Raw genomic sequence first — 25,178 nt, 5'->3', positions numbered from 1 at the left:
CATTCCAAACAGGCAAAACTCACAAGGACTTGCCTCCAATAAAAAATTACCAGAAATGGCCTGTAATCCCAGCACTTTGGGAGGCAGAGGCGGACAGATCAAGAGGTCAGGAGATCGAGACCATCCTGGCTAACACGGTGAAACCCCGTCTCTACTAAAAATACAAAAAAAGAAAAAAGAAATTAGCTGGGCATGGTGGTGGGTGCCTGTAGTCCCAGTTACTTGGGAGGCTGAGGCAGGAGAACGGCGTGAACCTGGGAGGCGGAGCTTGCAGTGAGCCGAGATCGCACCACTGCACTCTAGCCTGGACGACAGTGACAGACTACGTCAAAAAAAAAAAAAAAAAAAAAAAAAAAAATACTAGAAGTGCAAAAAAGCAGTAAATTATGGCTCACAATAAGAAGAAATGTCAGTGGAAAGGTAACCAAAAATGACACAGATTATAGAATTAGTAGACAATGAAATTAAAACAGTTAAACAACTGTATCCCACATGTTCTTAAGCTAGAGAAAAGACTGAACATGATATAAGTAGAGACACAGAAAATAGGCTGGGCACGGTGGCTCATGCCTGTAATCCCAGCACTTTGGGAGGCCGAGGCAGGTGGATCATTTGAGGTCAGGCGTTTGAGACCAGCCTGACCAATATGATGAAACCCCATCTCTACTAAAAAATACAAAAATTAGCCAGACGTGGTGGTGTGTGCCTGTAGCCCCATCTACTGGGAAGGCTAAGACAGGAGAATCGCTTGAACCCAGGAGGCAGAGCTTGCAGTGAGCCGAGATAGTGCCACTGCACTCCAGCCTGGGCAACAGAGCGAGACTAGGTCTCAAAAAATAAAAAACAAAAGAGACATAGAAAATACATTGAAGAAACAAATCAAACTTCCAGGAATAGAAATTACAATGTTGGAGATACAATATACTAGATGGAATTAATGGCAGATTAGACATTGCAGAAAAAATATAACCTTTGAATATGAAGGCTTAACAATGGAAACTTTCCAAAATAAAACACACAGAGAAACAAGAATAAGGAAAAATAACCAGGGAAACAATAAGCAGTTGGACAACTTAAAGCAGTCTAACATGCTTTTAGTTGGAATTCTTGAAAGAGAAGAGATGGGAAAACAAACATAAAATTGTATGTGTGTTTGTATGTATGTGTATGTGTGTGTGTGTGACACAGTGGCAGAAAATTTTGCAAATTTGATGAAAGTTATAAAGTTATAGATCCAAGAAGCTCAATGAACCCTAAGCATAAGAAAAATGAAGATAACTATAGCAAGGAACATCATAATTATATCATATTTTTTAAAAATAATGATATAATTTTTAGGTAATCAAAGGAAAAAATAAACAGTTTGTATAAAGAAAAACAGAAAGATGGCAAATTTTTCATTGAAAACATTGCAAGTAAGGAGACAGTTAATCAATTTAAGTCAAAAATGAGGGAAAGAAGTCTTCTGTCAATAGCTCTATTTAACATACACTGAAGGTTCTATTTGGCACATTCAGTTAAGAAAAAGCAGTAACACATATCCAGGTAAGACAAGAAGTAAAACTGTCTTTATTTGCAGATAACATGACCGTCCATAGAAAAAAATGTGATTTAATCTACAAAAAGGCTACTAGAACAAATCAGTGAGTTTGACAATGTTGTAAGACGTAAGATTATTATGTAAAAAAATTTCTACTTCTATAAACTAGTAAAGAACAATTGAAAATTGTAATTATAAACTGTTATTTACAATAGCACCACAAATAAGAAATACTTAGGATAAATCTAGCAAAAGATGTGGTTGACCTATAAGCAGAAAACCATAAAAATTTGCTGAGAGAAATTATATTACTTAAATAAAAGGATAATACATATTGTTCATGGATAGCAAGACTTGATACTCTTGCAATGCTAATTTTCTCCTAATTGAACTACAAAGCCAATGTAATCCCAATCAAAATCAGAGTGGATTCTTTTGTAGAAACTGACAAGCTAATTCTATAATTCATATAGAAATGCAAAGAATATAGACTAGATTGCACAACTTTTAAAAAGAACAAAATTAAATAACTTATACTACAAGACTTTAAAACTTACCATAAAATTAATGTAATCAAGGTAATATATTAACATTAAGATACTTTGATTAAGGGAAGAGAATGGAGTTGAGAAACAGATTTATACATATATGATTAATTGGGTTTTGATAAGGTTACAGAGATAATTCTGTCAAAAAAAGTAATGTTTTCAACAAATGGTAATGAAAAATGTGGATACCCATATGCATAATTCTATGCTTCATATCATATACACAAATATATGTTATAAACCTAAATGTATAACCTAAAACTAATACTTCTAGAAGAAAACATACGAGAAAAATATTTGCAGTATTTAGGCAAAATTTTCTTAGATATGACCCCAAAAACATGATATATAAAAGGATAAATTGATAAATTGGACTTCAAATAATTAATAACTGCTCTTCAATAAGCATGTTTAAGAAAATGAAAAAGCAAGCCACATATCAGAATAAAATATTTGTAACTATATATCTGATAAAAGACTTGAATCCAGAACTTACAAAAGTTTTCCAAACTCAAGAATACAAAAATCCATTTAAAAATGGACAAAAGGTGTCAATGGACATTTCACCAAAAAAGATGTATGGATTAAATATTAAAAGATACTAATCTTCATTAATCATTAGGGAAATACAAGTTTAAACTACAATGAGATACTACTCTACATTTGATAGAATGGGTAAAATTAAAAACCAGCCACACCAGGCAGACGTTAGTATGTAGAGCAAGCAGGGTTATGTCAAGGTGACCTATTATAACTTTGATTTCATGTTCTAATATTTCCTTACTAGAACATGGAAATACAAGATTTTTGTGATTAGATCCAGTATTCTATAGCTTTGTTAACTTTTCTTAATTTCTCACTTATTTTTGTTGCTATTGTGGATTCCATAAGGTTATCTACATCTGCCTGCTGTTTTGGAAAGTATTTTTAGGCTTTATCTAGGTTTATTTGTAGAGTGATTTGTGTCATTAATGATATCTGTCAGTGACACATAAGGAAGCCGTGGGAGCAAACATATAGCTCTTTTTATTCCTAATTTATGCTAATTCCCACTTCATATAAATAAGAAAATTAAGTCTCAGAGAGGTGAAGTTATACACCTAAGTATGGTAGAAGTAAGCCAACTTGTGTACATTCTTTCTTAAGTACAGTTTTTACTATGCGTCCCACTAACTTCTCCTCAAAGTCTTCCTGAAATCTCATTTTTCTTCAGAAATAATTCAAGCCTAGTCTTCCCAGATAGAATTGTTTTATCCTTTCCTTGTGGATACACTGTCCTTAGATCATATCTGTATCATGACCTATATCTTAATATTTATTTCATTTACTACAAGGCAATCCTCTTAGGTGGGAAGTGTGCATACACACTACATTATCTTTAACTCTTAAAAAAAGTGTTATTCCTTATAAAGATATCTATGTGGTTTAAAAAATAAGCAAACCACAACAATAACAAAATCCTAGAGATTAAAGGGCATTGATCACACACTACCTTATAAGGTATCCATTGTAAAGAACAATTTCCCTTCCTTTGCACTAATTAAATTGCTTTAATATAATAGAAGCTCACTGAATTCAAACATATTTTTAAATCTTTGGAATATAAATTCCTTATAAACCAAAAAATTGAACTTCTAATGTTAGAAAACCCACACTGAAGCAGGCTAGTGAAAGGCATATTTTTAGCAGGTGGCTTCCCAATGATACTAAAAATGAGGTTTTGCAGGCAGCCATCTGTTTCTCCTCCTCACCAGTCTTCCTGCTTTGTATCCTCATTGCAAATATGTACTACTATGGGGCTAGACTTCTCATGATTTAATGGATACTACTTACTCCTACTACTACTAATAATAAATTAACAATAATAATAAAGTACTTATTTAAAGTTTAAGTAAGGGAATCATACATACTATACATGGCTAGTAAAACGGCTTATGTCATTGGCCTATGTGGTCAGTCTATTGATTTGCATTAGAGAATTTTTTAATATAACTGAAATATATAAATTAGGAACCTTTAAAATGCAAGGAAGTACACAAAAGAGACCCTCGTTTATGGGGTGAATTAAAAAAAATTCAAAACTAACTAAAGGCCACATTTTGTTCTACAAGATTACATATGCATGAGGAAATAGAATATACATTCAAACAAATAAAGAAAGTGTACACTCAGGGTATTGTGAATACCAGCAAGTGGCGAACTAGTCTTTGCTGCAGAATATCTGTGCATTTATTTTTACCAAAGCCAGGAGCTGACTTTTGTCATTGCCCATACCACATCTTAAGGAAAAAAAAAATCTAGTTGAAGAGTTCCAGTAAAAAGAGTTATAAAGTGTATCACTTTATCGAGGTTAGTCACCTTCTTCTCTCTCCTAAACTCTACTTGTGCTGCTCTTGCACATAAAACAAATGAAAATCAATTTCTCCACAGCTTAGTTTGATAGAAGGAAGAAGAGCTTTGTTTATAATAAATCTGGGGTCAATTCTTGGGGCTCAGTGTCTTAATATCCTTATTTGCAAAACTGGGATGATAGTATCTGTTTTGCATGCATTATGAAACTTATAAACAATACAGAACAAAATCCTTAAAATTAATAAACAAGAGCCAGGCTTGGTGGCTCACGCCTGTAATTCCAGCACTTTGGGAGGCTGAGGCAGGTGGATCATGAGGTCAGGAGATTGAGATCATCCTGGCCAACATGGTGAAACCCCATCTCTACTAAAAATACAAAAATTAGCTGGGTGTGGTGGCGTGTGCCTGTAGTCCCAGCTACTCAGGAGGCTGAGGCAGGAGAACTGCTTGAATCCAGGAGGCAGAGGTTGCAGTGAGCCGAGATCACACCATTGTACTCCTGCCTGGGCGACAGAGCAAGACTCCATCTCAAAAAAAAAAAAAAAAAGAAAAAAAAGAAAAAAATTAGTAAACAAAACAATAGCAGTATTTGTTTTTTGTTCATATGAGAGCTAATGGAAGGTTACAAAATTACTTGGAGAGCCAATATTTCATTTTCATTGTTATTGTGTTCTCCTTTCCAAGCCCTCAAATGCTATAGCATTTGGCTGTTATTGGCCTTTGAATGAATGTGTGTTATAGGGTGTTGGTCTATTGCAATGTTTGTGAGTTTTCAGTTACTTAGTAAATTTGCCCCTTCATAATGCAGGTGCCGATGTACAAGGTCAATGGCAACATTACAAACTCCCCAAGTGAAAGCTATTGAACTGTATTATCCATCACTAAGTACAGTAGGAAATGATTTGACCTTCTTTGAATAGTAGTTACTGAACAAATTATTTTTCAGCTTGAAAATAATTACAGATCTCAGATGCTTATTTAACCTGCTGCCTCCTAAATTTACACCAATCTTTCATGCTCCTGTTGCTACTACTGATAAGTGCTGAAATAGCATGTGGTAATGGGATGACATAAGGCTTTGGATTTGGAGACCTAAATTTAAACTCTGGCTCTTGGCCAGGCATTATCTCAGCACTTTGGGAGGCTGAGACGAGAGGATCACTTGAAGCTGGGAGTTTGAGACCAGCCTGGGCAAACAAAGCAAGGCCTGCATCTCAACAAAAAATAAAATTAATTAGCTAGCATGGTAGCGTGTGTCTGCATTCCCAGCTACTCAGGAGTATGAGGCAGGAGAATTGCTTAAGCCTACGAGGTCAAGGCTGCAGTGAGCTATGATGGCACCATTGCACTCCAGCCTGAGTGACAGAGCAAGTCCCTATCTCAAATAAATTAGAACCAAAATAAAATAATAAAAAATAAACTCTGGTTCCTTTTCTGTCTTATTAATTGTATGGTTTTTGTCAAATTACTTTCCTCTATCTTAGTACTGATTTGAAGTTTAAACAAGATATGTTTTAAAAATACTGTTGCTCAGCTTCAGCTCCAGCATGCAAAGAACTTTAATGTCATCACTCAAGGTCTTTGCAACAAGAAAAAGTTGAATAAACTTAAAACTAAATGTATTTTGTGGGCCCATCAGAAAACTGAGGTTGCTGGACAGACCACCAGCCCTAAATCTGGAGCGGTTGGCACATCTAAAGGGACACTGCTGAGATGTGCTTACCTGGAGCAGAACTTGCTGCAGCCATAACAGGTAGGGACACTGAAATGGTTATTTTGATGAATTGCTGGAGGTTGAGTGTGCATTAGCCTGAGAGTGAGAATGTTCCGGTCACTGCAGTTTAGTTGTCTCACACTTTCACAGGCTGTAACACTATGAAATGCATTAGGCTCTCATGAGGGAGATCTAAGAAGGCGAGACAGACCCCCAGGTGGTTTTGTCAGGGAGAAGAGTAATCATTGCAAAATATACCCAGAGCCTTTTCTATAGCAAATACTTACTTTCCAGCAGAAGGAACTTTGCCAGAGCCTTATCCTAGCTTGGGGAAAGAAACTGCTCCCGCTCTATTTCCTTCAGGGTTCCTGTTTCAGCTGAGAGGGGAGAAACACATTTTCAACACTGGTCAGGGATTGATGAAAACAGGTTGGTAATAATGCAGCCAGGGAAGGGAGTAGGAAGCAAGGAGGAAAAAAGCTGTATCACTGGAGGAACATTTGCAAAGGTCACAGTGCCACGAGACAGACCCACTCAAAGACTGAGATATAATTGGAAGATTATAGGAAGTTCTCTCTCCCCCATACCCTAGCAGTATATCAAGAAGTCTCCAATAGAATTACAGTGAATGACAGCTTAACAAACTGCATGGCAGAGGACGTCTCTGAGGAGGAGTATTGAGGGAAGCACAAAGTCAGGAAGAAAGACAAAAACAAGGGCACTAGAGGACTTGGAAGCTTCTGGCCTGTATAGCTATGGAAAACATTAAACACAGCTGACGACCTAGCAAGATAAACATAAATCCTGACACAGAAAACCGATTTACCTCAGTTCCTATTACCTAATAAAACATGCCTGGCTTTTTACAAAAGATTGCAAGGCATGCCAAAGAGCAAATATGCAGTCTAAAGAAACAAAGTAATCATTAGATTCAAACTCAGATATACTACAGATGTTGGAATTGTCAGACTGGAAATTTTAAATAACTATGAGTAATATAGTAAAGGCTCAAGTGGGAAAAGTAGGCAACATGTAAGAATATATCAGTAATGTAAGCATTGATATACAAATTCTAAGTAAGTATCAGTAGAAAATGCTAGAGGTCAGGAGTGGTGGCTGTCATCTGTAATCCCAGCACTTTGGGAGGCTGAGGCAGGAGGACTGCTTAAGCCTAGGAGTTAGGGACCAGCGTGGGCAACATGGCGATACCCTATCTTTACAAAATACATATAAAAAATAGCCAGGCATGGTGGTGTGCGTCTGTGGTCCCAGCTACCTGGGAGGCTGAGGCAGGATGATGGCTTGAGTCTAGGAAGTCAAGGCTCCAGTGTTTGCACCATCGCACTTGAGCCTGGGCAACAGAGTGAGACTCTGTCTCAAAAAGAGGAGAAGGGGAGGGAAGGGGAGAGAAGGGGAGGGAAGGGGAGAGAAGGGGAGGGAAGGGGAGAGAAGGGGAGGGAAGGGGAGAGAAGGGGAGGGAAGGGGAGAGAAGGGGAGGGAAGGGGAGAGAAGGGGAGGGAAGGGGAGAGAAGGGGAGGGAAGGGGAGGGAAGGGGAGGGAAGGGGAGGCCTACAAAGCAAAAACACTGTTACTGAAATGAAGGATGCCTTTGATGGGCTCATCTGTAGGCAGGACTCAGCCTAGAAAGGATTACTGGGCTTAAAGATGGGTCAATGGAAACCTAAACTGACATACAAAGAGAACAAATATGAAAATACAACACGCAAGAACTGTGGGACAATATCAACAGATGTAGCATATACATAATTGGAATAGCAGAAGAAGAGAGGAAGAATGAGCAGAAAAAATATTTGAAGTAAGTATAATAACAGATAAAATCTTTAAAAAGATAGACACCAAACTATAGATCCAGAAAGTTCAGAGAAAACCAAGCAAGATAAATACCGACACACACGCACACACACTCATACACACATATCCCAAGGCATATCTTACTGAAATGACAGAATATCAACAAAAAAGGGAAAATTTAGAAAGTGGTGGTGGTAGTGAGGACATTACCTATAAATGAACAGAGATAAGAATTACAGTGGACTTAATAGAAACCATGCAAATAAACAGAGAGTGGAATAAAATAGTAAAGTATTGAAAAAAATCCCCATTCAAACTAGAATTCCATATCCAGTAAAATTCTTCAAAAGTTGAAGGCTTTCTCAGAGAAAACCTGATGGAATTCATCACCAACAGACCTAACCTGCATGCAATGTTAAAAGAGTTATTGACTAATATCTTTCATGAACATAAATGCAAAAATCCTCAAAAAAATTAACAAATCCAAAAATGTATAGAATGAATTACTATAGTACTTCTTTATCCACGGTTTCACTTTCCATAGTTCCATTTACCTGTGATATAGTATGATAGGATATATTGAGAGATGACATTCATATAACTTTTATTACAGTATATTGCTATGTTGTTCTGTTATTACTTATTGTTGTTAATCTCTTACTGTACCTAATTAAACTTTATAATGTGTATTATATATAGAAAAACAACACATATAGCGTTTGGTACCATTCCTCATTTCAGGCATCCACTGAGGAACTTAGAGCATGTCTCCTGCTGATAAGGGGAGACTGCTGTATATACTACAAATAGATTTATTCCAAGTGTGCAAGCCTGGTTCAATATTGACAAATCAAATCATACAATTCATCCATTCAACAGGCTAAAAGAAGAACTATCATATATTGTATCAGCAGATGCAGAAAAACTAGACAAATTTCAACACTCATCCATGTGAGAAACTCTCAGCCAACTAGAAATAGAAGGAAATTTCCTAAACTTATAAAAAACATTTATTGTAAAAAATTCACAGCTCATATGCTTTATAGTGAGGAACTTCAAGTTTCCTTCCTGAGATCAGGACAAAGGTAAAAATATCCCATCTCTCACCATTCCTATTTAACATCATATTGGAAGTCCTACTTAATGAAATAAATGAAGAAAAAATATTTAAGTTGGGAAAAAAAAACTGTCTTTTCTTGCAGAAAACATGATTTTTTATGTAGCAAATCCTAAATAATCAACAAAAAACTCCTGGAATTAATAAGTAATTATCACAAGTTTACAAAGTTAACACATAAAAGTTTGTTGCTTTCCTCTATACTAGCAATGGACAATTGGAATTACTTCTATTTATGTTCATTTTTAGTAGAGATGAGGTCTTGCTACGTTGCCTAGGCTGATCTCAAGACCCTGAGCTTAAGCCATCCTCCTACCTCAGCCTACCAAACCACTGGGATTAAAAGCATGAGCTACCATGCCCGGCCAACAGTTGGAATTTGACATTAAAAATAAAACATCATTTACTTTAGCACCAAAACCATTAAACTTAGGTATAAATGTAACAATATGAGGAAAACTATAAAACTCTAAAACAAATCAAGAAGATATAAATAAATGGTGACATATTTCATGTACATGAATAGGAAGACTAAATACTGTTAAAGTATCACTTCTTCCCAACTTGATTTATAGATTCAACACAATCTCAATCAAACTTCCAGAAAGATTTTGTAGATATTGACAAAGTTCCCAAAACAGCTTTATTTTTAATTGCCAAATCTTGGTAGCAAACGAGATGTTCTTCAATAGGTGAATGAATAAACAAACTGTGGCATATCCATATAATAAAATATTGTTCAGCAATAGAAAGAAATGAAGGATCAACTCACAGAAAATGGAGGAATCCTAAATGCATATTGCTAAGTGAAAGAAGCTAGTCTGAAAAGACTACACACTGTGTAATTCCATCCATATGACATTCTGGAAAAGGCAAAACTATATAGACAATAAAAAGATCAATGGTTCCCAAGGGAACAGTAGAAGGGAAAGAGGGATGAAGAGGTGGAACACAGTAGATTTTTAGGACAGTAAAACTATTCTATATGATAATGTAACAATAGATGCATGATATTATATATTTACCAAAACCCACAGAACTATGTGACAGAGTGAATCTTAATGTAAACTCTGGATTTTAGTTAATAATAATATATTAATATTTATTAATTGTGATAAATATACTAACATGTTAATAATAGGGGAAACTGGGTGTGGTGTACATGAGACCTCTCTGTGTTATCCTTACAACTTTTTTGTAAGTCTAAAACATTTCCAAATTACAGTGTTTATTCAAAAACGACCTGGCATGTACTAAGTTTTCAGGAACTTCCCCTTTATAATATTGACTATGTCATACATAGCCTAAATTCAATTCAGAACACTTGCTGTTGCATAGGATGATGTGGAAGGGGATTTTCTAATAAATCAAATAGAAAATTTAATAAAGTATAATCATGTAATATGAAAAGATAACAGACTAAAAGTTTAATAACTGACAAATAAATCTCTGCTGAGTGCAACCTAATGTTTTTTGATAATTCAAATGGCACTTGGGAATATTTGAAAGCCTTAAGTCATCATTATAAGCATCAATTATTTCTGTATGAATGACAAGCAAAATTTTACTAATAGAGACCTCTTATTATAAGAATGCCAATTTTAATTTGTTTAAGAATATGGATTCATCAAGGGCATTCCAGATTTTTTAAACTAGACACGTGAAAAAAATCAATCAGCATGAAAAATTAGGGTTGCTACTAGAATCACTCTAGTTTGAAAAGTTAACCATATTAGTATTTTCCTGTATTAGTTATTTCCCTGAACGAAAAGAGCTGAACGAAGGCTTTAAGAACCAGAGACAGTCAGAAATAAATATGAAAGCTATCTTTGTCATCTTGGATAAACAAGGACATGTTTCCTGCAGATTTTGCCTGAGTCTATGTTGAAACATTTTAAGTCGTGAGGATGTTCTTTCCATTGCAAATAACATAGCAGGATTCCTTTGAATAGCTCAATGGGTGGGGTGAGAGAGCTCTTTGAACTCTAGTTTCCTAGGATGTCTTGCTACTCAGTGTGATAACAAGTGTTTTTCCCTGCCATAATATAGAAACTCATACTCTTCTGAAGAGGATTTTCTTTTTTTTTTCTGAACGCTGCAAGAACACAAAAAAGAATCTGGAGATGGAGCACAAAATAAACTGGATAAGCATGAGGAATTTGAGAAATTAAGATCACGTGAGAGCTAAGAGCTACCACCTTTAAAACCTCCAAAATCCAGATATGATTTCCTTCCGGGTTTGGAAGATTTCAGTTGAAAGGAAAACTGTCATGAATTTTGCAAGTCTGACAGTGGGCAGATTTTGATTCAGAAAATGAAACTAATAATCTTTGAAGTTGTGTGAACTTAACAAGGCTTTTGTCCATTATAAAGAACCTTAATTCAGTTTACCAACTCAAGCTCAGTGCATTTGACCAAATCCACTGATCCTATAAAATGATGCTAGGCTTCTCTGTACCAAAAGAAATCAAGCATTCAATTAAATGAAAACAGATTACTTCATGTCTCCAAGCCAAATATGTTTAGTTCTTTAAGATGCCCATTTAAGTGTGAAGGAATTAGAGGAGGTAGTCAGGGAATAAGTCTCTTCTAAAATCTCTAGTTAGAGGACAGCTACATTTCTTTCAATTAAAATTTAAAAAGAAACTTAAAGATCATCTCCTCCTTCAGCTATGCTGGCAACCTGAATAGTTAATGTTTCTCTTTGCTCTAAATTATGCTCATTCTTATCCTTAGCCATCAGTAGCAAGAACATAACTTGGAGACATATTGATGGGAGATAATTTCACCATAAAATGTATTTGGACACACAATTAAAAATACAAAGTCTTTTTAGCCCAAAGGCAGATAAACAACTAACCATAAAACCAATGCTCTATGAACCCACGGACACAAAAAATAATTATTTTCTTATCACTAAGCCAATATTTAAAACTATTAATTGATCTCTCTTAGCCTCCCTTGCCATTTTAGATAAGGTCTTCATCCAACTTAATGTTGTAAAAGCTAGTTAAATCAACAAATTACTAAGACCCTCTTTTTTACTGCTCTAATTAAGAGTTTGACTGTTTAAATTTTGATTCTATTTGCATTCATGCAAAAAAACAAATCTCACTGTACTTCTACAACAGTTTTTACTTATCTTTTTTCCAAGTTACTTCTATACTAGCCTAAAAAAACCTGGAAACTCAGCATCAGTGGATTTAGAAGTCACCTATTCCTGCATACCATATAATGGGCCACCTGATTTTATCATAATACATTTCAGGCTTTTCAATTATGGAATATCTGTGCTAAGAGAGAGAATATGGTATAATGAAAGGAGCACAGAATTTGGAATATAAGAAATTTAAGTTTATATACTGACACTGGCACTTCTTAGCTGTGAGACTTCAGGGAAAGAACTAACTAGAGTTTCCTCCTCTATAAAATGATGATTATGTGGATAATGTCAATACTTCTCTCAGAGGATGACTATCACATGCTTAGTACATATACTATGTCAGGTATTGTGCTGATATTATATGCACATGAATTTTGTTCATCTGCATGTAATATTGAATATTGAATCTAGTTCATGTGTATATAATATTAGCATAATGCCTGACATAATGTATGTACTAAGCATATGACAGTGATTAACTCTTTGTAATTAAAATTAACTCTTTGTACAAACAGTGATTAACTCACTCTTTGTAGGAATGATATTCAAAATATTTAAAATGAATATGACACAGGCATATCTCAATCAGTATGAGTGCTGACCTTAAACATCTGGGACTCTAGTTGCTTGCACAGGCTGAATATCAATCCCTAGTACAAGAAAGTAGAAGGAAATACAACTGGAAAAGGCAGTTGGGAGAGATCTGATGAACGGTTCATTATGTCCAGGAGAGCACTTCAGAGTACCTCTCTGCACCCTTCATCACAAGTCAAAGAGCAGAAACATGCACACCAGAAACCAGCCTCCACACACAGTTTCTGATTAGCCTAAACCATGAATTTTACTTGAAACCAGGGACAGGAAAGGCAGCTCCTATCTGACAGCAAAAGTCATGTCTAAAATGCATGAAACACACTAACATAAGTTAATACCCTATTATGTACTTTATTCATTTTTTATCTTTGAATTTTCAGGATAATTCATCAATATGGGGATTATTTACCAATTTTCCATATAAGGAAACTGAGGTTCCAATAGATAAAGCAAATCCACCAAGGTCATGCAACTTGAGAACTGGATTTGAAAACAAGGTCCGTCAGACTCCAAAAACCTTGCTTTTTCTGATACACTACGATTGTTAACTTAATCTGTTTGCAAGTTGCAGATTCTGATGTGATACCTTCAGTCTCCTGCTCCGGATAATTTCAAAACTGTGTTATTTAAAGCACTAGGTTTCTGTGGGAGTGATTAAAGTTTTGCTACAAAAGGTACAGTGGAAGCTGAGAGGATAGAGCTTGCCTCTCTCCCAGAACATGGCCCGCACATTAGTCAGAAACTTCATCTCTTTCCTGTACTAAGATTTTATGTTAGATTTCCTTTAAATCAAAATGTTTCATTGTTTTAAAAAATAAATGCTTAAAAGTCATTGTTCTACTTCAAACTGTATTCCTTACCTCTGCTTCTATCCAAATACCACTTCAGTCTAAATCCTTAGTCATACATTCAGGCTTGTCAGCTCCCTGTGGCCTGGGTTGGTCAAAGTTAGCTGACTTCTGTGATAGAATTTTTTTTTTTTTTTTTTTTTTTTGAGATGGAGTCTCGGTCTGTCACCCAGACTGGAGTGCAGTGGCGCCATCTCGGCTCACTGTAACCTCCGCCTCCAGGGTTCATGCCATTCTCCTGCCTTAGCCTCCCAAGTAGGTGGGACTACAGGCGCCCGCCACCAGGCCTGGCTAATTATTTTTTTATTTTTAATAGAGACAGGGTTTCACCGTGTTAGCCAGGATGGTCTCCATCTCCTGATCTTATGATCCACCCACCTTGGCCTCCCAAAGTGCTGGGATTACAGGCGTGCACCACCGCACCAGACCCTTGTGATAGAATTTTAACTTGACTTTGGGTTCTGAAAATTCACCTTGACTTTTCTACTCAGCCTCTGAGTTTGCCACCATCTTGTGTGGATTCTAACAAAATACTCTGACTCTGTTTTTTTTTTCCTCAGGACATTATGTGACTTAAGATATATTTTCTCAATTTCCATAGTCTTTGGCTTGATCTTTAGCTATTTTACACATTGGCTAAGACCTTGGCTCTGCATTTAGCTTTTCTTGAACTATTGCTATCAAAGATCAAATACATATCTTATGATTTCAAGTCAGATCCAGGAGGCGATATGCCCAATAATTTAAAAGTAGTCCCTTTAGGCTAAGACACCATCTGCTGAAAATAAGTCACCATGTCTTTTGTCCTCCAGATTTATTTCTTCTTATCAATTATTTGCTTCTGCTAGGCCTCAGTTTAGCACCTTAGACTCCAGTTACCGCTCCACTGAAATCGTTCCATCATCCCTACTGACTGCCAGAAATTGACCTTTCTTTTCTTTGGGCCCTTGCCTTTGGGACTGAGCTTGATGAATGCCTACCTCAAAAGTTAATCCTACCACTCTTTCTCCAACACTGTGTGGGAAGCTTTTTCAAAGCTCAAGTAGTAAATCCTTGACTGCCAGCTTGTAAAATTTGTGTTTAATTTTCTAGACGGTGTTTTTATTGACTTTCCACATCAGTTCTTTGCACTCATGACGATTCCATTCTCTCTTTTTTAGGATGCATCCAAACCAACCACGATATTTTCCATTTCCAAACTCCTCATATTCATGCACTCCTGGCACAAATAGAAGTGACTCTGTTGGTGTGTTTGTGAGTGTCTCCCAATCCAGGTAACATTGCATTCAATTCACTAGTGTGCATGCTGCCTTCACTATTAACAAAATTCAGTAAGGTGCCAGGATTTAAAATTAACATGCAACAATCAATATTCTTCAGAGATACAAATAATAGAGTTAGTGACGACACATAAATTTAAAACACTTAGAAACTGGCTACCTAGAAATATATAAAACCTACAAGAAGAAAAATATTTAAAACTTCTGAAAGACTCAAAACAAGTCATGAACAAATGGAAAAATCACCTGTCCTTGGACATAGAAGTTTAACAATTTAAAGAGACGATTTTGCATAGCTTTACTTATAAATGTAATAATGTAATGCAATTCCAATACAATTTTAACAAGCTTTCACCTAGAGCTAGAGAAGTTGATACTAAAGTTCATATGAAAAAATAACATTTAAGAGTATATTGCAAACTATGGTAAAAAAAAGCACTATAAAGGAGACCAACGCTACAAGATTTAAAACATACTATAAAGCATGTGATTAAAACTGTGTGTTCATGGCACATAAAAAGACATACAAGCCAATGGAATCAAATAGAAAGTTCATAATGAATACAAATAAATGTAGATATTTTGTATATGATAAAGATGCTATTGAAATTACTGGGGTAAACACAAACATTTTCATAAATAATGTTGAGAGAACTGGATAGCCTTCTGGAAACCCATAAAATTACGATAATATCTCATACCACATACAAGAATAAATTCCAAATACATTAGAGATGTAAATGTAAAAAAAGTACTAGAATAAAACATGAGTACATTGTTCTAAAATGGGTGTGCTGTGAAAGAATTTATAACTTTATTAAATCTCCAGGTGCAAAAGAAAATAATTAAATTCAACTACATCTAAAAATTGCAAGCAAAAGTTTAACAAAATAATACAAAAAACTCACAAATGACAACTGAAAGAAAACATTTGCAACATATATCACAGATAAAGGGCCAATATCCCTATATCCCTACATACTAAATTTATAAAAATTGAGCAAAAAAAATCTAATAGAAAAATGGGCAAAAGACAGGAACAGAAAATGCATGTAAGTGGAATTACATGGCCCTTAGACATTTTAAGAGATGTTCACCTTCACCCATGAGAAGAGAAATAAAAAATAAAACCAAAATGTAATTTCTTACCTATCAAGTTGAAAAAATTTGAAGTTTTAAACTTGGTGAAGCAGTAGGGAAAGAGGCTCTTTCACACATTGCTAGAAGAAACATAAAATGATCCAACACTTACACTTGAGAATTGGGCAGCATTCAGTGAAGATACATATGCATTATACATATATACATATTATTATGCATATACCATTAAAGAAAAAATCACTTCTGTAAATTTTGTCTGAAGATATACTCCCTATGATACAAAATATATTTGTGACTATAAAATATTATAAACTACCTAATTTCCCAAACATATGAGATTGATGGAATAACCTATGATTTATTCATATAAGACTGCTCTGCAGCTATAAAGAAGAATGAGGAAAATCTCTGTAAGCTGATATGGTGAATACATTGAGTAAAAACAAAAAATACAGAAGAATACTTATGTAGTAGCTATCTTTCATGTGAGAAAAGAGGGAAAATTACATATAATGTGTATAGTGATTTTTTTAAAAAAATTAGAAAACAAAACTTGGAATGGGTAAACTATGGGAATGAAGTGGAAGGCATAGGGGAGATAGTGCTGCTTTTCTGAATGTGTCTGTCTTTTTGTATAGATTTGCCTTTTATAACAACGTGAATAGGCATGTTCAGGAAAATATAATTAAAACTTTAAGGATAGGAAAAACCCCCAACTTTAATGTAAACAGGATTCAACTGCATTTAATCTAGCCACACTGAAGGAAATAAAGAAACTACTTCAAAGCACTTTTGCACACAGCATTTTGACCACATACCCTCAGCCTAAAGACAAAAGGAATATCAAACAAATCTTGAATTTCACATAGTAGATTTAATTTTTTTAAAGAAAGATGTAACTATTTTCTGTTTATTATAGAATAGAGCAAATTCATTAATAACATACTAATGTTAGAAGCCAGATTTTTCACTCTTAGAAAAATGAGATATGAATATGGAGAGGCGGGAAGCTAGAAAGAACCCTGCAGTATTGGACTAGAATTCAAGATCTCAATATTTATAAACTAGTGGCTTTCAATATTATATGTATGAACACACACACACTCTTAGAGAGATGAGATAAAGAAAGATAAATAGTAAATACATTTATTTAGTTCTGTCCACTGAAAAGCCCTAGAAAAAGACACCTAGAAAAGAATATCTCAGTAGCAGTGAGCACACCGAGCTCTTAGATCTGAGGTTCTAAATACCATTTCCAACTAAAAGGAGACAATGCTCTCTGGAGAAATAGCTAATTCCAGGGTTAGAGGAGGAGAGTACAAAACGAGATAAGAACATTTTGTCATGCCAGAAATTAAGGAGTGCTAAAAAGTGTTGGGTGCATGTCACAAAAACAGAGAAGCTAGCTTGAAGCCCCAAGCCCCAGTCAAATGGCTTTTGCAAAATTATGATCATAAGAGAAATCTGACATCGTTAACTCCAACTTGCTTCTAACTTCCAAGCTATCCTTGGTCATTCCAGGGTGTAGACAAAGCTGACTTTCGGAGAAATTTAATTTATAGCTTAACCTTAAATCAAGGATGAAAATAGCCCTTCTCCAAACTAAACCACCATTGTAAAATTAATGAAAGTCCACAAGGTTAGGATTAAGAGATGGGCCTGATTACTGCTAAAATGGGGATATAATCTCAGGAGTCATGTAGCAGGAGGTAGCAAGATTTGTGACTTCCTCAATTACTCCTATAGATAACATCACTGTTAGAGAATCTAAGATCAGTTTTTTGAGATGTCTTTCAGATCAATCCCACCGGAACTCCTGATTCATGACTCAGCTGACCCTCTGGCCCCACCAATAGGAGAACTTAGCACACGAGGACGATTTTTCACACCCCAGTGATTTCATCCCCAACCAATAGATAGTCCCCATTCCCTAGTCCCCTGCCCACCAAACTGTCCTTGAAATCCCCTAACCTTTGAGTCTTCAGAGTGATTGATTTCAGTAATATCTCTTCCCACACAAGGTGTGACCAGCCTTGAGTCAATTAAAATCTTGTTTTACTGCCACTCCATGGTCTCAGTGGATTGATTTTGTTTATGCAGTGGGTAGGAAGAACTCAATGGGCAATTATACCAGTGTCCAAAGCAAGGGTAATCAAAGAATCAAAAAGTGAAAACACTAATAGATTATAATCCACTAAAACAGTAAAAGTGTATAAGTCCATTGATTTAAAAAATAGATGGAGAAAAAGGAAAGATTCTTCTTTATAGTAGTACTATATGCAGAAATAATAGAATAGAAAGAATAGAATGATTAATGGATGCTATAATTAATGGGTGCAAGTTTGATGTGGAACATGATACTTAGAGAGTCTCAAAGTATTTCACCCAATAGTTATGTATTAATTACAAAGGAAAAATAACCTTATAATGGAAAAACTGGGAAGATACTATCTTGTTAAGTAACCGCAGTTAATGAAACCAAACTGGCCAGTGCAGTGACACATGCCTATAATCCCATAATTTGGGAGGCTGAGCTAGGCAGATTACTTGAGCCCAGGAGTTAGAGATAAGCCTGGGCAACATAGAAAAACCCTGGCTCTACAAAAAATACAAAAAAAAAAAAAATTACCTGGGCATGGTGGTGTGCACTGTAGTCCCAGCTCTACTTGAGAGGTTCAGGTAGGAGGATCAATTGAGACCAAGAGGTTAAGGTTGCAGCGAGCTGTGATCATGCCACTTCAGTCCAGCCTAGGCAACAAAGCAAGTCTCTGTCTCAAGGTAAAAACAAAAAAATCACATAACAAACCAATACTATGCACTTCTGGATGTGAGGCTCTAAGATGAACATAGTTACACTTTGTGGGATTCTTGCCAAAAATTTGTAACCTAAATCTAACCATTAGATAATATCAGATAAATCTAAATTGAGAAATATTCTACAAAATAATTGCTGTGAACTTCAAAACTTTCTTTTAGTGTCCATTTATATTGTATTCTAAGGCCTCTAAAAATTTTTCCAGTCTTTTTTACTTTCCGGGCTATAATTTGAATAGCTTTTATGATACAGATTCACACTCACTGATCTTTCCTTTTGAAATGTCCAATTTGCTTAAAAGCTCAGTCAAAAAAGTTTTCACTTTATTTATTCTATTTTTCAGTTCCAGAATTCCATTTTTTAATAGTTTTCACATCTCAGCTGAGATTTCTCATCTTTTCTTTCATTATGACTGTATTAATATATAGATACTTTAATTTATATAATAAATACTTTAACACCCTTGTCTGCTAATTCCAACATTGGTGTTATCTCAGTATCTATTTTTGTTGACTATTTATCACCAGGTTAGAGTCACATTTTCCTGTTTCTTAGCATAGTGAGTTTTTTAAAAGATTTATACTGGATATAATGAGTACTACAATAAGAGGATGTTTTATTTTACTCCTTTAGAATATGTTGAATTTTGCTCTGACAGCCTGTTAATTTACTGGAAGATTGGCTTTATACTTTTAAGGCCTGATGTTAGCCTTTGTTAGAATGTATCTACAATAGCCCTTGCTTTGGTTCTAGTATAGTATTACTACTAAGATTAGAACTTTCTATAGTATGAAATAAATTATGCCTGGTGTGTTAAATTAAGTCTCTCCACTCTGGTTGAGCCTAGCACTGTGCCACTCCCACAATTTCTGTTCAGCTCACACCTTCCCTGTATGTATTCTCTGATAAGCCATGAAGAGTTTTACTCTATGAATGCACAGCTTATTAGCTGGCCAATGCCTCAAAGTCATTGCTATGCAGATTTCCGGAACTAAAGAAATAGGTCAGTGGTCACTGGTCTCATTTTGTAAGGTGTTATCCAAACTCATTGTCTCATGACCAAGAGAACTGAGGGGCATGGACACAAAGGGAGAGGTTGGAGTGAAATTTTAATAAGCAAAAGCAGAAAGCTCTCCACAGCAGAGGGGAAGCCCTAGTGGGTTGCCATTTTTACAGCTGAATTCAAAAGCTTTTATAAGAAACTCCTCTCATCTCTGTAGCTCTTTGAGTAATTTCTCTCATCTGAAAAGCTGAACAACTCCCCCTTATCTATGTAGTTGTGGGTATATCTCTAGGCAAGCACAAAGTGCCACTTCTCTTGTTCATATAACTGTAGGATTGTTTCAGGTAAGCCCCCCTCCTCCCTGTGCAAGTTCCCTCCGAGACCATTGTGTATATGCCTGAAAAGGCGAGCAAGCTTTTTCGTGGGAACTCGCTAATCACACAAAGGATAAAAAGGTATTGCCTAGGTTTTCTACTAGGAGTTTTATGGTTTTAGGTCTTATGTTTAAGTCTTTAATCCATCTTGAGTTGATTTTTGTATAAGGTGTAAGGGGAACCAGTTTCAGTTTTCTGCATATGGCTAGCCAGTTTTCCCAATAGCATTTATTAAATAGGGAATCTTTTCCCCATTGCTTGTTTGTGTCAGGTTTGTCAAAAATTAGTTGGTTGTAGATGTGTGGTGTTAATTTCTGAGGCCTCTGTTCTATTCCATTGGTCTATATATCTGTTTTGGTAGCACTACCATGCTGTTTTGGTTACTGTAGCCTTGTAGTAAAGTTTGAAGTCTGGTGGTGTGATGCCTCCAGCTGTATTCTTTTTGCTTAGGATTGTCTTGGCTATGTAGGCTCTTTTTTGGTTCCATATGAAGTTTAAAGTAGTTTTTTCTAATTCTGTGAAGAAAGTCAATGGTAGCTTGATGGGGTTAGCATTGAATCTATAAATTACTTTGGGCAGTATGGCCATTTTCACAATATTGATTCTTCCTATCCATGAGCATGGACTGTTTTTCTATTTGTTTGTGTCCTCTCTTACTTTTTTGAGCAGTGGTTTGTAGTTCTCCTTGAAAAGGTCCTTCACGTTCTTTGTAAGTTGTATTCCTAGGTATTTTATTCTCTTAGTAGTGATTGTGAATGGGAGTTCGCAGGGAGCCAAAGGCCCATGGGACGTGACCAACTCAACATTCCGCTGGGGGCTATATGATCAAACAGCAAACTGTTTATCATGAATGTAGGATGTGGGCAAATTCACACTACCCTGCCACCAAAAGGTTTGCTGAGGGACATCACTCCCTGGTTCCTTGAAGTTACCTACTGAGAAAATTAGCACCTATTGTTCCAAGGATGCAGTCTCACAAGTCTGCTGTGAAACAAAGGGCCAATGGACAATTATCCAACAATCACCCCCCTTTTCTCACTATCTCTGTTGCCTAATAAATACGGAGGGCTACGTAAAGCTCAGGGCCCTTGTCCACTAGAGACAAGGTGCCCCCTGACCCCTTCTTCCAAATATACTCTCTTGTCTTTGTCTTTTATTCCCACGTTTGCCCTATTTTGTTCAGTCCCCCTAGGTCTGTGCAGGTGGAGTTCACTCATGATTTGGCTCTCTGTTTGTCTGTTATTGGCATATAGGAATGCTTGTGATTTTTGCACATTGTTTTTGTATACTGAGACTGCTGAAGTTGCTTATCAGCTTAAGGAGATTTTGGGTTGAGAAGATGGGGTTTTCTAAATATACAATTATGTCATCTGCAAATAGAGACAATTTGACTTCCTCTCTTCCTATTTGAATACACTTTATTTCTTTCTCTTGCCTGATTGCCCTGGCTAGAACTTCCAATACTATGTTGAATAGGAGTAGTGAGAGAGGGCATCCTTGTCTTGTGCCAGTTTTCAAAGGGAATGCTTCCAGTTTTTGCCCATTCAGTATGATATTAGCTGTGGGTTTGTCATAAATAGCTCTTATTATTTTGAGATACGTTCCATTGATACCTAGTTTATTGAGAGTTTTTAGGATGAAGGGCTGTTGAATTTTGTCGAAGGCCTTTTCTGCATCTATTGAGATAATCATGTGGTTTTTGTCATTGGTTCTGTTTATGTGATGGGTTATGTTTATTGATTTGTGTATGTTGAACCAGCCTTGCATCCCAGGGATAAAGCTGACTTGATCATGGTGGATAAGCTTTTTTGATGTGCTGCTGAATTCGGTTTGCCAGTATTTTACTGAAGATTTTCTCATCGATGTTCATTAGGGATGTTGGCCTGAAATTTTCTTTTTTTGTTGTGTCTCTGCCAGGTTTTGCTATCAGAATGATTCCAGCCTCATAAAATGAGGTAGGGAGGATTTCCTCTTTTTCTATTGTTTGGAATAGTTTCAGAAGGAATGGCACCAGCTCCTCTTTGTACCTCTGGTAGAATTCAGCTGTGAATCCGTCCGGTCCTGGACTTTTTTTGGTTGGTAGGCTATTAATTACTGCTTCAGTTTCAGAACTTGTTATTCGTCTATTCAGGGATTCGACTTCTTGCTGGTTTAGACTTGGGAGGGTGTATGTGTCCAGGGATTTATCCATTTTTTCTAGATTTTCTAGTTTATTTGCGTAGAAGTGTTTACAGTATTCTCTGATGGTAGTTTGTATTTCTGTGGGATCAGTGGTGATATCCCCTATAACATTTTTCACTGCGTCTGTTTGATTCTTCTCTCTTTTCTTCCTTATTAGTCTGGCTAGCAATCTATTTTGTTGATCTTTTCAAAAAACCAGCTGCTGGATTCATTGATTTTTGAAGGTTTTTTTGTGCCTCTATCTCCTTCAGTTCTGCTCTGATCTTAGTTATTTCTTCTCTTCTGCTAGCTTTTAAATTTGTTTGCTCTTGCTTCTCTAGTTCTTTTAATTGTGATGTTAGGGTGTCGATTTTAGATCTTTCCTGCTTTCTCCTATGGGCATTTAGCACTATAAATTTCCCTCTCCACACTGCTTTAAATTTGTCCCAGAGATTCTGGTACGTTGTGTCTTTGTTTTCATTGTTTTCAAAGAACATTTTTATTTCTGCCTTCATTTCGTTATTTACACAGTAGCCATTCAGGAGCAGGTTGTTCGGTTTCCATGTAGTTGGGCGGTTTTGAGTGAGTTTCTTAATCCTGAGTTCTAATTTGATTGCACTGTGGCCTGAGAGACGGATATGATTTCCGTTCTTTTGCATTTGCTGAGGAGTGTTTTTACTTCCAATTATGTGGTCAATTTTAGAATAAGGGCAAAGAGGTGCTGAGAAGAATATATATTCTGTTGATTTGGGGTGGAGAATTCTGTAGACGTCTATTAGGCTTGCTTGGTCCAGAGTGGAGTTCAAGTCTTGAACATCCTTATTAATTTTCTGTCTCGTTGATCAGTCTAATACTGACAGTGGGGTCTTAAAGTCTCCCAATATTATTGTATGGAAGTCTAAGTCTCTTTGTAGGTCTCTAAGAACTTGGTTTATGAATCTGGGTGCTCCTGTGTTGGGTACATATATATTTAGGATAGTTAGCTCTTCTTGTTGTGTTGATCCCTTTACCATTATGTAATGCCCTTCTTTGTCTCTTTTGATCTTGTTGGTTTAAAGTCTGTTTTATCATAGGCATGGGCAAAGACTTCACATCTAAAACAACAAAAGCAATGGCAACAAAAGCCAAAATTGACAAATGGGATCTAATTAAACCAAGGAGCTTCTGCACAGCAAAAGAAACTACCATCAGAGTGAACAGGCAACCTACAGAATAGCAGTAAATTTTTGAAATTTATCCATCTAAAAAAGTGCTAATATTCATAATCTACAAAGAACTTAAACAAATTTACAAGAATAAAACAAACAACCCCATCAAAAAGTGGGCAAAGGATATGAACAGACACTTCTCAGAAGACATCTGTGAACAGACACTTCTCAAAAGAAGACATTTATGTAGCCAACAGACATAAGAAAAAATGCTCATCCTCACTGGTCATTAGAGAAATGCAAATCAAAACCACAATGAGATACCACCTCGTGCCAGTTATAATGGCGATTGTTAAAAAGTCAGGAAACAACAGATGCTGGAGAGGTTGTGGAGAAATAGGAATCCTTTTACACTGTTGGTGGGAGTGTAAATTAGTTCAACCATTGTGGAAGACAGTGTGGTGATTCCTCAAGGATCTCGACCCAGAAATACCATTTGACCCAGCAATCCTGTTACTGGATATATACCCAAGTGATTATAAATCATTCTACTATAAAGACACATGTACACGTATGTTTATTTCAGCACTATTCACAATAGCAAAGACGTGGAACCAACCCAAATGTCCAACAATGACAGACTGGATAAAGAAAACGTGGCACATATACGCCATGGAGTACTATGCAGCCATAAAAAGGATGAGTTCATGTCCTTTGCAGGGACATGGATGAAGCTGGAAACCATCATTCTCAGCAAACTAACACAAGAACAGAAAACCAAACACTGCATGGTCTCACTCATAAGTGGGAGCCGAACAGTGGGAACACATGGACACAGGGAAGGGAACATCACACAACGGGGCCCGTCATGGGGTGGGAGGCCAGGGAAAGATAGCATTAGGAGAAATACCTAATGTAGGTAACGGGTTGATGGGTGCAGCAAACCACCACGGCACGTGTATACCTATGTAACAAAACTGCACGTTCTGCACATGTATCCCAGAACTTAAAGTATAATAATAATAATAAAGAATAAAAAGGCTTCTATGATGGACCTTGCCTCCCTTGCCTGCTTATCTGTGCAGGTTAGTCTGAGTGTCGCCCAGGCTGCTCTATTTTTGCCTGTAGCTGTGATTTTTCAGGGAGGCTGCTTCTCCGAGGACTAATCTTAATTGTCTACCCAACTGATTTTTCCTTTTCTTCACCCTCATTACTTCTTTTATTCTCACTATTCTTTTCCATACTACCCAATCTTTCCAATTCTGGCTTCATGACTACATGGAACCCTGTTTTCACAGTCAGGTGAGATTAATATGTTCTCTGTTTGGGCTCCACTCTCCCCTTCAGTAATTTGGAAGGTAGAGCTAATGTTTCTTTATCTCAATCATCCTGGGCTATTTTCCAATATCTTAAAACTGTTAATTCCTGTAAGTTTTTTTTTTTTTTTTTTATGGCAGCACATGTGCTTAGAGACCTTCCTTTTGTTTCTCCCGTTAGTTTAGGACAACGTTTTAGGAAACTCAGCGGATTTTCTCTATCCTTCTTAACTAGAGTTTCTTATGGCCCTGGACAGGGCTTTATACCCATTGAAAAAATTTACATACCCATT

General features: G+C 36.2%; 1 long non-coding RNA gene across 4 annotated transcripts in view, besides 1 other annotated feature; it reads right to left on the bottom strand.

Moving 5' to 3' along the window:
* The window catches only part of LOC102723370 (uncharacterized), a 366,694-nt gene that overhangs the window by 247,371 nt on the left and 94,145 nt on the right, over positions 1-25,178 (bottom strand). For 2 of the 4 annotated variants that reach the window (XR_931111.3, XR_007062618.1), the window contains exons 1-2: positions 18,699-18,740; positions 16,118-16,188 (exon numbers count right to left, since the gene is read on the bottom strand). The exons of the other annotated variants lie outside the window; for them this stretch is intronic. This is a non-coding gene — a long non-coding RNA (uncharacterized LOC102723370). Of the gene's footprint in view, positions 1-16,117; positions 16,189-18,698; positions 18,741-25,178 lie in introns of those variants that run through there. 4 annotated transcript variants of the gene reach the window in all.
* Positions 10,794-11,320: an enhancer, noted in NCBI's record as "OCT4-NANOG hESC enhancer chr11:21882755-21883281 (GRCh37/hg19 assembly coordinates)". NCBI's record gives its function as "activates a minimal SCP1, AML or CMV promoter by ChIP-STARR-seq in naive H9 embryonic stem cells {active_cell/tissue: H9 hESC(naive)}" and the evidence as "EXISTENCE:reporter gene assay evidence [ECO:0000049][PMID:30033119]".

Source organism: Homo sapiens, chromosome 11 (genome assembly GCF_000001405.40).
Source record: "Homo sapiens chromosome 11, GRCh38.p14 Primary Assembly".
NCBI lineage: Eukaryota > Metazoa > Chordata > Mammalia > Primates > Hominidae > Homo > Homo sapiens.
The sequence above is the reverse complement of the archived record's forward strand: the minus strand, read 5'-3'. Positions and strand labels throughout refer to the sequence as shown.